This window comes from Homo sapiens, chromosome 17, assembly GCF_000001405.40.
Source record: "Homo sapiens chromosome 17, GRCh38.p14 Primary Assembly".
Lineage (NCBI taxonomy): Eukaryota > Metazoa > Chordata > Mammalia > Primates > Hominidae > Homo > Homo sapiens.
The window spans coordinates 35,489,081-35,505,256 of NC_000017.11; the positions used below are offsets into that span (position 1 = coordinate 35,489,081).

The following is a 16,176-nucleotide window of genomic DNA, read 5'->3' on the forward strand; positions in this document are numbered from 1 at the left end:
AAAACAAAAGTACATAGCCGTGCTTTTCTTCATTTCATCTGATTCTCACGCCAGCTCTAAGGAAACAGCTTCACTGAAGTGAGGAAACTCTTCTTCAGTCACTGACTTACAAAATGGTAGTGCAGGGATTTTCCCAGACCACCAAGAAGGCATCCAAGAAGTAAGCAAAAAAGATTACGACGTCGTTCCTATACCGTGGCAGTGGCTCACGCCTATTATCCCAGCACTTTGAGCGGAGGAGACAGGAAGGTCGCTTGACCCCAGGACTTCAGGACTAGCCTGGCAATATAAGGAGACGTCATCTCTACAAATAATTTTTTAAAATAACCGGGCGTGGTGGCAGTGCACTTGTGGTCCCAGCTACTAAGGAGGCTATGGTGGGAGGATCACTTGAACTTGGGCTGTTGAGGCTGCAGTGAGCCGTGATCAGGCTACTGCACTCCAGCCTGAGCGACAGAGTGAAACCCTGTCCGTATATATATGTACATATATATATGTAAAATGAATGCAGCAATATACCCCCCAAAATTATATTAAGACCAACAGAGGTTTACTCTCGGTATCCAAGAGTGATTTAGATGTGAAAATCAATCGGCCTATTCACTGCATTAATGAAAAAAGGAACATCACATGATCATTTCAATAGATACCGAAAAAGCATTTGACTCTTGAAAGTTATCCTCAGAAAGAATACATATGACGTCTGCACTTATTCCATAGATCAAAACAAGTCACCTTGCCAAGCCTAATATCAATGGGGCAGAAAACTGTCATCTACTTCCGGAGAGGAACACCAACCTTGTGGAATATTATGACAGTTTATACAGCACAGCATCTTATGCTCCAAGTGGGACAAAAATCCCACAACCAGTCATGATTTTTAAAAAGAACCCTTAGCAAATTGGGAATAGAAAGAAATATCCGACATCCAGATCCTCACCACGAACACTTCCACCACCTCCTGTTCCCTCTCCCTCCAAAGCGGCGCCGTAGCCACCGGCCCCCTCCTCCCCAGTGCCCCAGGCGCGGAGCAGACCGCCGGCAACCTCCTCTACACCACGCCGCAGGGACCCTCCAGCAGAGCCGGGCTGCTGCAGCCACCAGCGCTGGGACGAGGCGGCAGTGGCCCTCTGGCAAAGTGAAGTCTGGAGCTAGGAGAAAGCGGTCATCAGTACCTCTCGGATGGTTCAAAAACCCCCAAGGGCAAAGGAAGAGCTGCACTAAGAAGTCCAGATACTCCAAAAACTCCAAAATCTACCTCAGAAAAAACACGGTACGATAGTCTCTTGATCTGCTCACCAAGAAGTTCATTCAGCTCCTGAACCAGTCACCCGATGGGGTCTTGGTTTTGAACAAGGCAGCGGAAGTGCTAAAAGTGCAAAATAGAAGGATTTATGATATCACCAAAGCTCTGAAAGGCATCCATCTCATTAAGAAGAAGTCTAAAAATAACGTCCAGTGGATGGGTTGCAGTCTGTCTGCGGATGGGGGCATGCTGACCCAGTGTCAAGGCCTGTCAAAAGAAATGACCAAGCTCACTCAGGAAGAGAAGAAATTAGATGAACTGATCCCAAGCTGCACGCTGGACCTCAAACTATTAACCGAGGATTCAGATCGTCAAAGGTTAGCTTACGTTACATATCAACATATTCGAAAAATTAGTGGCCTTAAAGACCAAACTGTTATAGTTGTGAAAGCCCCTCCAGAAATAAGACTTGAGTGCCTGACTCAATAAGAGAGCCTACAAATACATTTGGCAGGTACCCAAGGGCACATTGAGGTTTACTTATGTCCAGAAGAGACTGAAACACAGTCCAATGACAACAAACAACCAAGACCCCAATGGGAATATCCTTAAACCCACCTCGTTGGTTTCAACCAACTCAGGACATAGCGATTGCTCAATTTCTATGGGAAACCTTTCTCCTCCGGCCTCCCCAGCCAACCTCTTACAGCAGACTGCGGACCAAATTCCTTCTAATCCTCTAGTATGACCATTTGTGAACTTACTGCCTCCCCTGCTGCAAGATGACCATTTGTGAACTTACTGCCTCCCCTGCTGCTCCTCCTGAGCCTCGGGGAGGAGGAAGGCATCAGCGATCTCTTTGATGCCTATGATTTGGAAAAGCTCCCACTGGTGGAAGACTTCAAGTGTAGTTGATTATGCTTCATGTGAACTCTCCTTAAAAACCAATTTTTTTAAATCATGGAACCAGAACATATGTCATGCAATGTTGTCCCTTCCTACTTTCTTCCTCCAGGAGAGTATCATGAAGTAAACTACAAACTTCAGAAGAAAGCTGACATTTTCATGAATTTTTTAAAAATTAATAAACAAATTGTCTAAACGCACAGTTGCAGGCTCCCTTGGGAAAGCCCTGCTTTGCTACAGGCTCCAAGATCTCCTGGCTAGGTCAGCAAGTGAGAAAATGTACAATCAGTTGTCTCTCACCCCGACTTTTCCTTCCTCCTTCCTCCCCGGATTGGCTTGCTGTGCCTGAGGGATGGGCTGCAGAATGGGGTCTGGCCACCTGGCCTGCTGGGAAACAGCAATCTTCCTTAATAGCATTTCAAGCCATGCCTTCTCCACAGAATGCATGTCTTTGAGGTCTGCTGATATGGAATGGAACTGCAGCAAATGCAAACTTGAAGTCATGCAAAAGTATGAAATGAATTTCTTCAGCTCTTCTTAGGAATATTCAAATTACTGTCATAATTCAGTTTAAGCTATGAACTGTGTGTCCCAGTAGGAGGTCAAGAAGATCTCCACAGGCTTCTGGATGAAGAACCTGTTTTCAAATATACTTGTTGCAGATACAGAAGACTAGTAGAGTTCTGCCACTCTAAGCTGTTGTGGATTTTCCTGTCTCCATGAACCACTCCCATTCCCCTGTCCCCAATGTGTTTGTGAGTTTCTAGTTGATTTGTAGCAAATGCCTACTTAGTTCTTTGTGGATTGTTTTGAACTTTTTATTTTTTTAGCTGCCATTTAAGCATTCCTGTGGCACCCATCACCATTTCAATTTAATTGTTTACTTTGAAGCGATTTTTGCAAATTCACATTACTTCAGCAGAGGGAGAGAACCTCTACTGATCAGAGCATCTAAACCTGTGTGATCTAAGGTTTATCAGCTTCTGCAAGGAGCTTTGTCCCACCATGCTTCCATTCCCAGAAGGAGGAGCTTGGAGCGAGTCAGTCCTGGGGCTTGCTGACATGGGTGACCCATTGGAAAGGAGAACCAGGTTGGGTGACTTAGCCCCAAGGAGCAGCAGGCATGGGTCCCTCCATCCTTGGGCTTCCTGGGCCCCTGTGATGGGGGAAAGGGCTCTCTTATACCACACTCAAGGAGACCACTTCTCAGGATGGAGTCAGATGGAGAGACCTCTCGGGAGAAAGACATCCCCGTTGTGTGAGTGGCATTTCCTTAAGCTGGCAGGAACGGGGAGCTCCCACTGTGTTGGGGGCTGGAATAGTTCTGGCCAGACCCCGTTCCCCTTCCTCTATGAAGGAATAAGTTGGACCAAGGGAAGTTGGGGGCGTAGAAAATGAAGCAAAACAATTCCAGGGTGTCTCCCGCTTTACTCTTCAGGAATGGTGTCCCAAGTTGGAGGTTTTGTGTCAGCTGCAAATCCTACCAGTTATGTCCAAGAATGGCTTTCCCTCGGGCAGGTGGCAGTGGTCATCTCCCACTGGGAATATGGCGTAGTATCTCCGGTCCATTCCTTGGATGCTAAGGACTGTGGGAATGAGGGGGTCAGATAAAGAACAAACCTCAAAACAAACAATTAAATTGAAATGTTATGTGCCTGACCCAATGGTAGGCACATAGTAGGCACTCAACTCATATGTTTAATTGAATTGAAAATATCCCTTAGGGGAAAAAAAAAACACACACACACACAAGCAAAAAACCACAAGAGCCTCAGCCAGTTTACTCCAGGTAGATTTCCACAATATGCAAAGTGGTGGTGGGGTCAAGACAGGTGACACCAGCACTTTAAATTCTTTGTGTGGGTATGCGTGGGTGTATGTTTGGGAAGAAAAACGAAGGTGCAGACTATCTTCCTTTTTTCTTCTTCAACCTCCATCCCTGGCTTCCTCCCCTCACACACACTGGACTTGGTACAAAATGTCAGTGTGGTCCTAGAGGAAGCATTGGGGTGGGGGAGGGAGAGGGAGCTTTGTGTAAAGTGCCTACTGGAAATGCACTGTGGGGTTTTTCCTGTATGGGAAACCATTTATGCCAAGCTTTCCCCTATTTCCCAAATTTATATCATCTGGTTAGCTGCCTCTGCTTCCAGCTTTGTATAATTCTCTTTGCCAGCTGCACAAAGCTGATTTTCTCCAAAGTCTAAAGACTGAGCTCACCTGGCTAGATTGTTGTGTGTTTTGTTGAAATTGTTCATAATGTAATGCCGTATTTATTGTTTTAAAAATGAAAGGAATACTAATAAGTCTTAAAAGTTCCTTCATGCCTAAGATTTTTTCCAGTTACTGGGCTTAACTGGTGTACATTAATTAGATGTCCATACTGTATTTTGTTTGCATCAAGTAATTTTCTTTTTGACTTAGTATCTGGCACACAAAGTGGGTTAGTACTACAGTATTTGCATTACTTTAAGTACAAAGTTAGGTATGTGCTTATATGTACAGAGTTGTGCATAGCAATCATTTTATGTAAGTTGACATGTAGTCTACTCACATTTTCATTTTTAGCAGTTTTGTACAAAAATAGCAATTAATTTGTAAACACTACCAGAATACTTTCTAGATGGCATGTAATTTTTTAAGAGTGTTATTTTGTTTTTGTTTTTGTTCTTAGTTGTGGTTCTTCTTTTCATTTTTGTTGTACGTGTAGATCTGTAAATAAAATTGCAGTATTCAAAGCTTAAGCTTTCGGGAAAAAGAAAATAAGAATTCAGTGTGTGCATGACAACTCGTGTGTATGAGAAGGAGGGATTTGAAGGAAGATGACTTGCAGAGTAAGTCGGGTAGCAGTTGTCAGAGTGTGGGAATTTATTTTCCTACGGGGTACGTGATTTTGTAAAAAGGAAGTATTTCTCCCAAAATTGGGAGTAGGCAAATTACTAATCGGTTTAGCTTTGTGTTGTATGCTAGTTTAAAAAAGAAAATATGTAATATAATGTAAAAAAAAAACAACAAAAAAGCTTTTATGATGGATTTTGTAAACAGATTTGTTACAGGGTGACCTGTTCTCTAGCTGTGATCTTACCACTTCAAATGGGTGTAATTTGAATAACTTTTGTATGGTAAAGGATCAATAAAATGATTTTTTAAGAAAAAAAGAAATATCCTTAATCTGTTAAAGATTATTTATAAAATAAAAACTTTTAAAAAATCACACTCAGTGAGGAAATATTAAAAACTGTCCCATGAGTTTTAGGAATGAGGCAAGGATACTCTTTACTTTCACTCCCATTGCAGCTTGTGCTGGAGGCCTTGGGCACTGCACTAAGGCACACAGAGCTGAAGAACCCTGAAAAACAATAAATCTCTAATACGACAGCAATGTGCCAGGGCACACAAATAGACCAGCAGACCAATGGGACAGCAGAGAGGATCCAGAAGCAGGCAATATATAGTCAGCTGATTTAGAATGCAGGAAGGGAGCAAGCTGGAGCAGGGGAGGGAGGGGCTTCTGTGGTGGGAGGACTGGTTCAGGGCCAGGACTGGGGTGAGGAGAGTGACGCAGGGCCAGGCAAAGGCAGAGTTGGATCCTGTCTTTATTTAACATTTTTATGTTTTATTTATCACCGATTTTTGCGTTAATTTTATTAATTTATTTATTTTATTTATTTATTTATTTATTTATTTATTTATTGAGACAGGGTCTCCCTTTGTCACCCAGGCTGGAGTGCAGTGGCTGGATCTCTGCTCAAGGCAACCTCCACCACCCAGGCTCAGATGATCCTGAGCCACTGGAGTAGCTGGAACTACAGGGGCGCCCCACCACACTGGCTCATTTTTGTTTGTTTTCTGTAGAGAGGGGGTTTTGCTATGTTGCCCAGGTTGGTCTCAAACTCCTAGGCTCATGCAATCTGCCCGCCTTGGCCTCCCAAAGTGATGGGATTATAGGCATGAGCCACCACGCCTGGCCGCATTAATTTCGATTTTTTAAATATTGTTTATCTTGTTCACTGAGAGGTGATGTTTGTTTGGTGTCCCCTTCAATTTTGGACTAGCAAGTGCTTCACTCTCCTTAAACAGCCCTCCCCATAGGTTCATTGTCTTAAGTGCCGTGATGGTTTCAAGGGTTTCTAGGTAGGTCAATTTCCTTCATATTATACACTTTAAATACGTACAGTTTCATGTATGTCGATTATAGCTCAGTATAGCTATTTTTACAGTAACATATAAAGCAATAGAGTGAAGGCTCTGTGCACTGGCGGCAGCCGTGGTCTCCGGCCCAGTTTGTGGCATCTCCAGGACACAGGCCAAAACAATCCCCCAGGGCAACGGCCTTGGACCTGAGACTCCTGCTGCAGGTGTCCCTGCTCCCCGCGCCTTCTTTGGCTCTCCCCGGGGTGGGTTGCGGCGCTCAGAAGCTTCGGCCCGCGCCCACCTCCCTACCCCACCCCACCCCCACCAGTCCGATTCTGCTCGCGAGCCGCAGAGATTGGTGCCCACTCGACCCTTTTCGGGGCAGGCAAGGATTAGACCGGGATCTGACACCAACTGGCGCTGTCCTTCGCGCCCACTAACAACTGGTCAGGGTGAGGACCCCCAGACCCACTGGGATGAGGGCAGAATCTGAAGCGTGCAGGGTGAGCGACAGAAGCTGGAGAAAGCCGATTTGAAACACACACACACACACACACACACACACACACACACACACACACACAACAAAACGCCAAGACGTGCCAGTGTCTACAGCGCCTTCGGGGGCATTTAAATTCCCCACCAGGAAACCGAGACCGATGCTGAGGTCTCGCCTATTCCTGGGTGCTCAGTGAGGTCGTCCCCACCCCCGGAACGGCTGTCACAGCAAGCAGGAGAGCAGCCCTGGGAACTAAGGACGTGACCAGTTACCAGGGAAACATCCTGGAGACACCACCTGTGGTCATCCCTGGGGAATGAGGTTCAGAACTATTCCTCAGTCCAGGCACGGTGGCTCACGCCTGTAATCCCGACACTTTGGGAGGCCGAAATGGGCGAATCTTATGAGCCCAGGAAATCAAGGCTACATCAGCCGTGATCGCGCCACTGCACTCCAACTTTGGCGACAAGAGTGAGACCCACTCAAAAAAAAATAGATTTCTTAAATGTTAATTATGAAATATTTCAGACGTACAAAAAAGTGTACCACCACCAGCGCATCCACTACCACCTTAGAGAATGAAGCCCCGCGTTTCCTCCTGGACAAGTTTCCCTCCCTCCCTACCCTTCCTTCTTCCGACTTCCCCCCTCCCCACCGTCCCTCCGGCCCCTCCTTTCCCTTCCCTCCCCTCCCCTCATGACCTCGACTCCCTTCCCTTCTCCCTGGAAGGAGCGGGGCGGAAGATCGAGCCCCAGCGCTGCCCCACAACCAGGCTGGATTTAAAGCCTGTGCAGTAGGCGTCTGTCTTCGCGGTGGCAGCATTTTCCTGTCCTCCCCAGGACTGGGAGAGTGCAGCGCTCCTCTTTCCCTTTGCAGGTGTATGAAAGCGAGATCGCCTTCTCAGCCTTCTCTTTGCGCCTCCCCAGACCCTCAGCTCTCCAGTGATTCTTATGGCTTTGTGCAGGGAGCGGGTCACCCATTCAGCAAAAAGTCACCAAGGGCCCAAAACGTTTTGCCAGAGAAATAGGATGGCTGAAAATGTTACCCTAATGGTACAAATGGAATAACTCTGTAGGCGCACATAATTACCTGTGTTTTCCCAGGGCATCAAAAGCCACTGTAGGCTGGGCACGGTGGCTCACGCCTGTAATCCCAACAATTTGGGAGGCCAAAGCGGGAGGATTGCTTGAGCCTAGGCAGCCTGGGCAACAAAGCTAGACTCCTGTCTCTACAAAAAACAAAACTAGACCGAGCGCAGTGGCTCACGCCTGTAATCTCAGCACTTTGGGAGGCCGAAGCGGGCGGATCACCTTAGGTCAGGAGTTCCAGACCAGCCTGGCCAACATAGCGAAACCTAGTCTGTACCAAAAATACAAACATTAGCTGGGCGTGGTGGCACACACCTATAATCCCAGCTACTGGGGAGGCTGAGGCAGGAGAATCGCTTGAACCCGGGAGGCGGAGGTTGCAGTGAGCCGAGATCGTATCACTGCACTCCAGCCTGGGCGACAAGAGCAAAACTCCATCTAAAAAATAATAATAAATAAAATAAATATAAAAATAAAAAATAATTTTTTAAAAAAGCAAAAAACAAAACAATGAGCCACCTAGGCTTAGTAGCACTGTCTGTAGTCCTAGCTACTCAGGAGGCTGGGCAGGGAAGACTGCATGCTAATATTCATTTCCATTATAACCCAATTTAGTGGAAGGCCACGTTTACATTCTCATACTGTTCTATTTAGTGCAATGAATACACTCATCTGACTTGGTAATAAAATGTAGTTATTTTAGAAGTTCCAAAGCAATCCGACAGTCTTGAAAACGCCTTCTTTGCATTTTCAAAGAAAATGTTTATTTCACACCAGGGAGAATCAGGGAGAAGATTCAAAAGCATTGTGTAAACCTTGAATTCATGAAACAATTTTAACAAAGGGTACAACTTCAGAAGCATTAAATTTGATTGTCTTGTATTTTTGTTACTAAATAATACTAAAACCCTCTCAATCTTCGTGAAAAGTCTTAGTAAGGAAAGGATTCTTGGGCCAGGCGAAGTGGCTCATGCCTGTAATCCCAGCACTTTGGGAGGCCAAGGTGGAAAGATCGCTTGAGCCAGGAGTTTGAGACCAGCCTGTACAACATAGCGAGACCCTGGCTCTAAAAAATAATAATAATTAAAATAAAGAGTCACAGAGCGGCCGCCCAGAGCGGCGGCGAGGGCGGCGGGGCGCGGGGCTCCAGGACACAGCTGAGCCGGCGGTCAGAGCGAGACCTGCAGCAGAGACGACGGAGGCGGAAGCATCTCGATCCGGGAGGCGGCGGCGTGGGGAGCCGGGGCCGCCTGGGATGTTCAGTCATGAAATGAGTGCGTACCGAGGAGATCCAGATGGCAGTGTCCTGCTACCTCAAACGCTGGCAGTACGTGGACTCAGACGGTCCCCTGAAGCAAGGACTGCGGCTGCCACAGACTGCTGAAGAGTTGGCGGCCAATCTCACGGTACACAGAGAATCTCATTGTGCCGACATAGTGTCTGCAGTCCCTTGCCAGGCAGAGCCCCAGCAATATGAAGTACAGTTTGGACGACTGCGGAATTTTCTCATCGATTCTGATTCCCCGCATAGCCACGAAGTGATGCCTCTCCTTTATCCTCTCTTTGTCTGCCTCCATCTCAGCCTGGTCCAGAACAGTCCAAAAAGTACAGTGGAAAGTTTTTACAGCCGCTTCCATGGAATGTTTCTGCAGAAAGCTAGCCAGAAGGGCGTCATTGAGCAGCTACAGACCACTCAAACCATCCAGGACATCCTATCTAACTTCAAGCTTCGAGCATTCCTAGATAACAATTACGTGGTCCATCTCCAAGAAGACAGCTACAACTACCTTATCCACTACCTCCAAAGTGACAGCTATACTGCCCTGTGCAAAATGTTTATCTTACTTATTCATCTTGATGTGCAGCCTGCCAAGACAACAGACTAACAGCTGTATGCAAGTGGCAGCTCCTCCCGCAGTGAGAACAATTACTTGGAGGCCCCTGATATGCCCAGCCCTATTCTGCAGAACGATGCTGCCCTGGAGGTCTTACAGGAGCGCATTAAGCAAGTCAAGGATGGGTGTCCCTCCCTCACTACCGTCTGCTTCTATAACACCTAGCAGCTGTTGAACACTGCAGAAATCTCCCCTGATAGCAAGCTGCTTGCTGCTGGGTTTGACAACTCCTGTATAAAACTTTGGAGCTTACAATCCAGGAAGTTAAAATCAGAGTCCTGTCAAGTAGACATGTCCCGCATCCATTTGGCTTGTGATATTCTGGAGGAGGATGTGTGAATACCGTTTTTTCTTCCCTGCACCTGCCTTCCTAATTTGCTTAGAATGTCCTTACCAAACACGACATATCTTAGAATGGACTTCCTAATTTTCCTCATCATATAGCTAAAGCCAGACTAATGCCATGTAACCTGTAGCCATTGAATTCCTGCACATGCCTAACCTAAGGTGTAAAAACAATTTTTAGCAACGTAACTTAACATTATTAATGAATGGTAGTATTTATACTATCTGAAATGTGGATAACAACCCTAAGCCTAATTAAAGACCTTTAGCTAATAATGACTTTAGCTGAGATTTGCAGTAAATATGCACTTATGTGTGCGTACATTTGCTCAGGTATAAATAATTAGAAGTAAGATTACTGAGTCAAAGGGCCTGCATTGTAAACTGTAATGAATATTGCTTTTCCCACAGAAGGTTGTGCCATTTCACAGTCTCAGCAGCAGTAGTGAGAACACTGCTGTCCCTGCACCCTCACCACACTGGATGGTATTGCCTTTCTGAGGCCAGTCCGTATCCTGTGGATCCATGTACCCCAGGGTGTTCCCAGACCCCACTTTGAGAAGTAACACAGGAAGTAGAGTTGCTAGCTCTCCCCTGTCAGTCAGTGTTCAACCTTTTTTGGTTTGTAACCATTTAGTCATTGAAAAGGGCAGGCGCAGCTTGGGTTTCAGGTCACTGAAAATCACTACCTTAGAAAAAAATGTAGGCCAAGGAAGATAGAAATTAAACTTCACAGAGTTAACTTTCCTTCAGAGTGTTCCTGCGAAAGCTGTGGGCCAAAATATTTTTGTCTTATCACCACTGAAATTCAGGTAGCTCTGCCTCATGTTACTTTGGATGGAAAATTCTTTATACGATGTTAAAAACTTAAGGATCAAAAATATCACGCTAACTAAGTTACAGTTAATGATAAGGATATCAAGAATATTCGGTGTGCTAAATTAAGCCATTGTTTTCCTGTTTCTGTTTTCTGAGTCTGCGTCCAGTTAGTATGGCCTTTGAATTTTTGATTACTGCAACCGAGACAGTATAATTCAAGGATTTCCTTATGATGAGTAAAGAGTCTGATTCCTACGTAGAAGCTTTAATTTCTAGTATTTTTTTTAAACTAAGGGAGGAGACCACCCCTCATATTGTCTTATGCCAATTTCTGCCTCTAAAGAAAGAAGAAGTAAAAACTAAAAGGCAGAAATGAAATCCACAGGCAGATAGCCTGGCGCCATGCCTCAGGCCTGGTTAAAGATCCACCCCTGACCTGGCCAGGCGCAGTGGCTCACGCCTGTAATCCCAACACTTTGGGAAGCCAAGGCGGGTGGATCATGAGGTCAGGAGATCTAGACCATCCTGGTTAACATGGTGAAACCCCGTCTGTACTAAAAACACAAAACATTAGCTGGGCATAGTGGCAAGCGCTTGTAGTCTCAGATACTCAGGAGACTGAGGCAGGAGAATGGCATGAACCCAGGAGGCAGAGCTTGCAGTGAGCCAAGATTGTGCCTCTGCACTCCAGCCTGGGTGACAGAGCGAGACTCTGTCTCAAAAAAAAAAAAAAGATCGACCCCTGACCTAACTGGTTATTTTATCTATAGATTCCAGACATTGCATAGACAAGCACTGTGAAAATCCCCTGTGCTGTTGTGCTCCATTCTGATTACCGGTGTATGCAGCTCCCAGTCATATACCCCACTGCTTGCTCAATCAATCACGACCCTTTCACGCAGACTCCCTTGGAGTTGTAAGCCCTTAAAAGGGACAGGAATTGCTTACTCGGGGAGCTCGGTTTTTGGAGACGTGAGTCTGCCAATGCTCCTAGCTGAATAAAGCCCTTCCTTCTACAACTCAGTGTCTGAGGGGTTTTGTCTGTGTCTTGTCCTACTACATTGCTTGGTATTCTGACCAGAAAGCGAGGTGATTAACAGACATGGTCTAGGCAGCCCCTTAGGCAGCTTAGGCCTGCTCTGTGGAGCATCCCTGCAGGGGACTGCAGCCAGCTTGAGCAACATGGATCCTGAGAGCACTCCTGGGTAGGCATTTTCCCTGGTGGAATGCCTTGTTAGAGCAGAGCATGGCAGACCCCAATGGAGGATCAATATGGTGGCTGAACACCAGGAGGAACTGGCACTTGGAGTCCGGACATCTGAAACTTGGTAAGACTGGTCTTTAGACCTTGCCCACTCCATTTTAGTGGAAGCATGGCCTGATCACCCACAGCGTGCCTGTACCGGCACTTTGGTTTTTGTTTTTGACTTGACTTGGATTGCTTGATACTTCGGTTTTGGTTTTGACCTGGCTTGGATTTCTTGATACTCTGATTTTGGTTTTGATTCTGGTTTGGTGTAAACTGTAAAAGTGCGTGTGTGCCCTTTTTATCCGTTCTTTGTTTTGTGGTGTGCATGAGGTGTGAGTGTGGTGTTTTGTCTCAAGGAAGCATGGGTCAGGCACAAAGTAAGCCCACCACACTAGGAAATATGTGGAAAAATTTCAAGAAAAGATTTAAGGGAGACTATGGAGTACTATGACACCAGGAAAACTTAAAACTTTGTGTAAGGTAGACTGGCCAGCATTAGAGGTGGCCATCAGAAGGAAGCCTGGACAGGTCCCTTGTTTCAAAGGTATGGCACAAGGTAACTTGTAAGCCAGGGCACCCAGACCAGTTCCCATACATAGACACTTGGTTACAGCTGGTTTTAGACCACCCCCCACAGTGGTTGAGAGAACAGCAGCATAAGCGGCTGGCAGAGGCAAGGAAAGACCAGCAGAGAGAGAGAAAGGAAGAGACAGAGAGACAAAGAGGGAGTCAAGAAGAGAGAGAGAGAAAGAGAAGCAGAGAGAGAGGAAGAGACAGAGGCAAAAGGAAAGTCAAAGAGAGAGAGAGAGACAGAAAGTCAAAGAGAGAGACAGAGAAATATACAAGTAGTTAAGAAAAAAAAAGTGTACACTATTCCTTTAAAAGCCAAGGTAAATTTAAAACCTATAATTGATAATTAAAGGTATTCTCCATAAGCCTATAACACTCCAATACCACTTTGTTGTCAGTGTAAACAAGGGGGTATCCCAAAAGCACTGAGGCCTTCCTATCAAAAATCCTTAGCCCTGTAACCTATGGATGGCCCAAATGCATTCAATCTGTAGTGGCAACTGCTTTGCTAACAGAAGAAAGTAAAAAATAACTTTTAGAGGAAACCTCATTGTGAGCACACCTCACCAGTTCAGAAGTATCCTAAGGAAAAAAAAAAAAAAAAAAAAAAAAAAACGATGATTTAACATTAACCACTGAAAATTCCCTTAACCCAGCAGGTTTCCCAACAGGGGATCTAAATCTTAATTACCATACAAAGGTCCGACCAGACCTAGGAGGAACTCCCTTCAGGACAGGATGATAGATGGTTCCTCCCGGGCAATTGAAGGAAAAAAAAAAAAGCCATCTATACCAATTCTAAGTTAGTTTGGACTAAACAAGGTCTTATTAATAGCAAAGGATAATTGAAATCCCAAACTTACAAGGTTTTCAACAAAAGTAAAGTTTACTAAAAGTTAACAGTGTAACATGTATTATAGTAACCTGTAATCTTGTGGCCTTAGACAGTCTAGTCCACAGACATAAAGGAAGTTTGCTTTGGAAAAGAACGGTTATCTTCAGGAAAAAAAGGGGGGCAGAATTTATGCAAAAATAATGTTATATGGTAAATTCTTGTCCTGAAATAAATTAACCGGTTGTTTAAAGAAAGAAATGTTTGTAATAAGTCAGACAGCTGAGGCATGTTGAAGAATTGTCTGTGAAAGTCGTGAAAGAGAAAAAAAGTTATAAAAAAAAGTGTGTTAGAAAAAGAATTTATGCAAGAAATGTTGTATAATTTAAAAGTAATTAGGCCTCCTGAATGTAAAACTATTGAAGAGACAGTTTTGTGCAAGGTGTATAAGGAAAGTAAAGTATACCTTTGGTAAAGGGATTATAAGGAGACATAAGAATGTGGACTTTTTACCTACATTAAAGGGTTAAAAAAATGTTTTAAAGGTTTAAGCAAGTTTTCAAATGTTAGTTGTGTGTAAATTCTGTGTGTAAATATATTAGCTAAAGTTAAAGGGGTATCATCCAGTTTTTCTGAGAACTGGACATTAAAGTAAAAACACAACAGGTTTCTCTTAAAGCACTAACCTGCTCTTTAACAAAGATTATAAAAGGTTAAAAAGAGTCTATAAAAATCTTACCTAATGGTCCGACATTAAAAATTGAATAAATATGCCTACAAAGTTTTATTAAAACTAACTTTAACATTAATAGCATACTAATATAAAGGTGAAATTTAGCTTATCTGGTATAAAAATCATACAAGAAGAATTGTCAAATATAAAATAGTGTTTGGCTTCTTTGGTCTAAAAACTAATAAAAAATAGGTACTAAAGGAAATTTCGTAGTAGAAAGGCACCAAGGACTATAAAGTCCACTGCCGATGTCCCCACATTTAAAACAAAAGGTCAATTTCTTTAAAAAATAATTACATACTTGCTTTATCTTCCACTTTCCTTTCCCTCAAAACTAAAAGTCTTTTAGCACATGTACCACCCCTAGAATTTCTGGTAAACCCGCACCAGCCTGAAGATCATGTTCTCATCAAAGGGTGGAAAGAAAAAAACTCGAGCCAGCCTGAGAAGGACCCTACCTTGTGCTGCTATCCACCGAGACTGCTGTTCATACAGCAGAAAAGGAATGGACTCATCACACCCAAGCCAAGAAAGCACCACCCCCTCCAGAGTTGTGGGCCACAGTCCCAGGAGAAAACCCTACAAAACTAAAGCTAAGAAAAGTTTAACTCCTTCTTCTATTCTATCGCTCTTTCTTCTTTCTTCACTCTATTTCTGACCATCTAGTTATTAACATAACCAAGTCAATTTTGCCTCAAACTATTGCATTTAATGCTTGCCTTGTTATACCCTGTGGGGACTTGCCAAGTCAAAGACAGCTCTCTACTTCAGAAAAGTACCTCTGTCCCTCCTGACTCTCCTCAGACTGGGCATTAATAAATTGGGACCATTTAATCCAGGGAGATTTTGATTAAAAACCCCAGTGTCAATCAGGAGTCTTGCCCCCCAGTAGAGAGTTTTTATGCTGTAGTTGGTCCAATGTTCTGTGGACCACTAAAGAGCAAGGATGGACTGCCCCAACCGGTTTTTGTAATTTCCTAAAATCATACATTCATTTTACTAGAGGATCATAGACGTTAAAGACTGAAAACAAACTTTGGCAATTAAGCAGGATGCCAAGATGCAAATGCCTGGTTGAAATGGATCAAATATTCTGTCCACACATAAAACAAAAGCAATTGTTATGCTTGTGCACATGGCAGTCCAGAGGCCCAGATTGTCCCCTTTCCACTGGGGTGGTCCTCCAGTCGACCAGGCATGGGCTGCATGGTAGCTCTTTTCCAGGATTCTACAGCCTGGAGTAATCAGTCATGCCAAGCTCCCTCTGCTATATCCCAAAGTCCAGCACCCTGTGGGTCAGCCCCCAGGGGACATCCAGCTTCCATCTCCCAACACTAAGTTCACTTCTTGTCTCTCACGACAGGGAGGAAACTTAGCCTTCTTTGGAGACCTGAAGGGATGCAATGAGCTTAAGAATTTTCAAGAGCTTATCAATCAGTCAGCCCTTGTTCATCCCTGAGCAGATGTGTGGTGGTATTGTGGTGGACCTTTACTAGGCACTGTGCCCAATAACTGGAGTGGTACTTGTACTTTAGTCCAGTTGGCTATCCCTTTCACCCTGGCATTTCATCAACCAGAGGGAGGAAAAATAAGATATCATAAAGCAAGAGAAGCCCCTTATGGGTCTTTCAACTCTCACGTCTATTTAGATGCAATTGAAGTCCCATGAGGAATACCAGATCAATTTAAAGCCCAAAATCAAATAGCTGCAGGATTTGAGTCAATATTTCGGTGGGTGACAGTTAATAAAAATGTAGATTGGATAAACTACATCTGTTAAAACCAACAGCAACAAGCTTTTCATGAGTTAAAAGAAAAACTCATGTCGGCCCCAGCCCTGGGGCTACATGACCTGACAAAATC

At 44.4% G+C, this 16,176-nt stretch overlaps 1 protein-coding gene and 2 pseudogenes across 2 annotated transcripts in view, besides 1 other annotated feature; 2 read left to right on the forward strand and 1 right to left on the reverse strand.

The window, feature by feature from the left end:
* Positions 1-16,176, reverse strand: part of SLFN12L (schlafen family member 12 like) — a 73,425-nt gene that overhangs the window by 24,827 nt on the left and 32,422 nt on the right. The window lies entirely within an intron of this gene.
* Positions 890-1,184: a silencer, noted in NCBI's record as "tiled region #9708; HepG2 Repressive non-DNase unmatched - State 20:ReprD, and K562 Repressive non-DNase unmatched - State 21:Repr". NCBI's record gives its function as "represses a minimal TATA promoter and a strong SV40 promoter by Sharpr-MPRA in HepG2 and K562 cells {active_cell/tissue: HepG2 | K562}" and the evidence as "EXISTENCE:reporter gene assay evidence [ECO:0000049][PMID:27701403]".
* E2F3P1 (E2F transcription factor 3 pseudogene 1) lies at positions 952-5,301 on the forward strand (annotated as a pseudogene).
* TAF5LP1 (TATA-box binding protein associated factor 5 like pseudogene 1) lies at positions 8,974-10,097 on the forward strand (annotated as a pseudogene).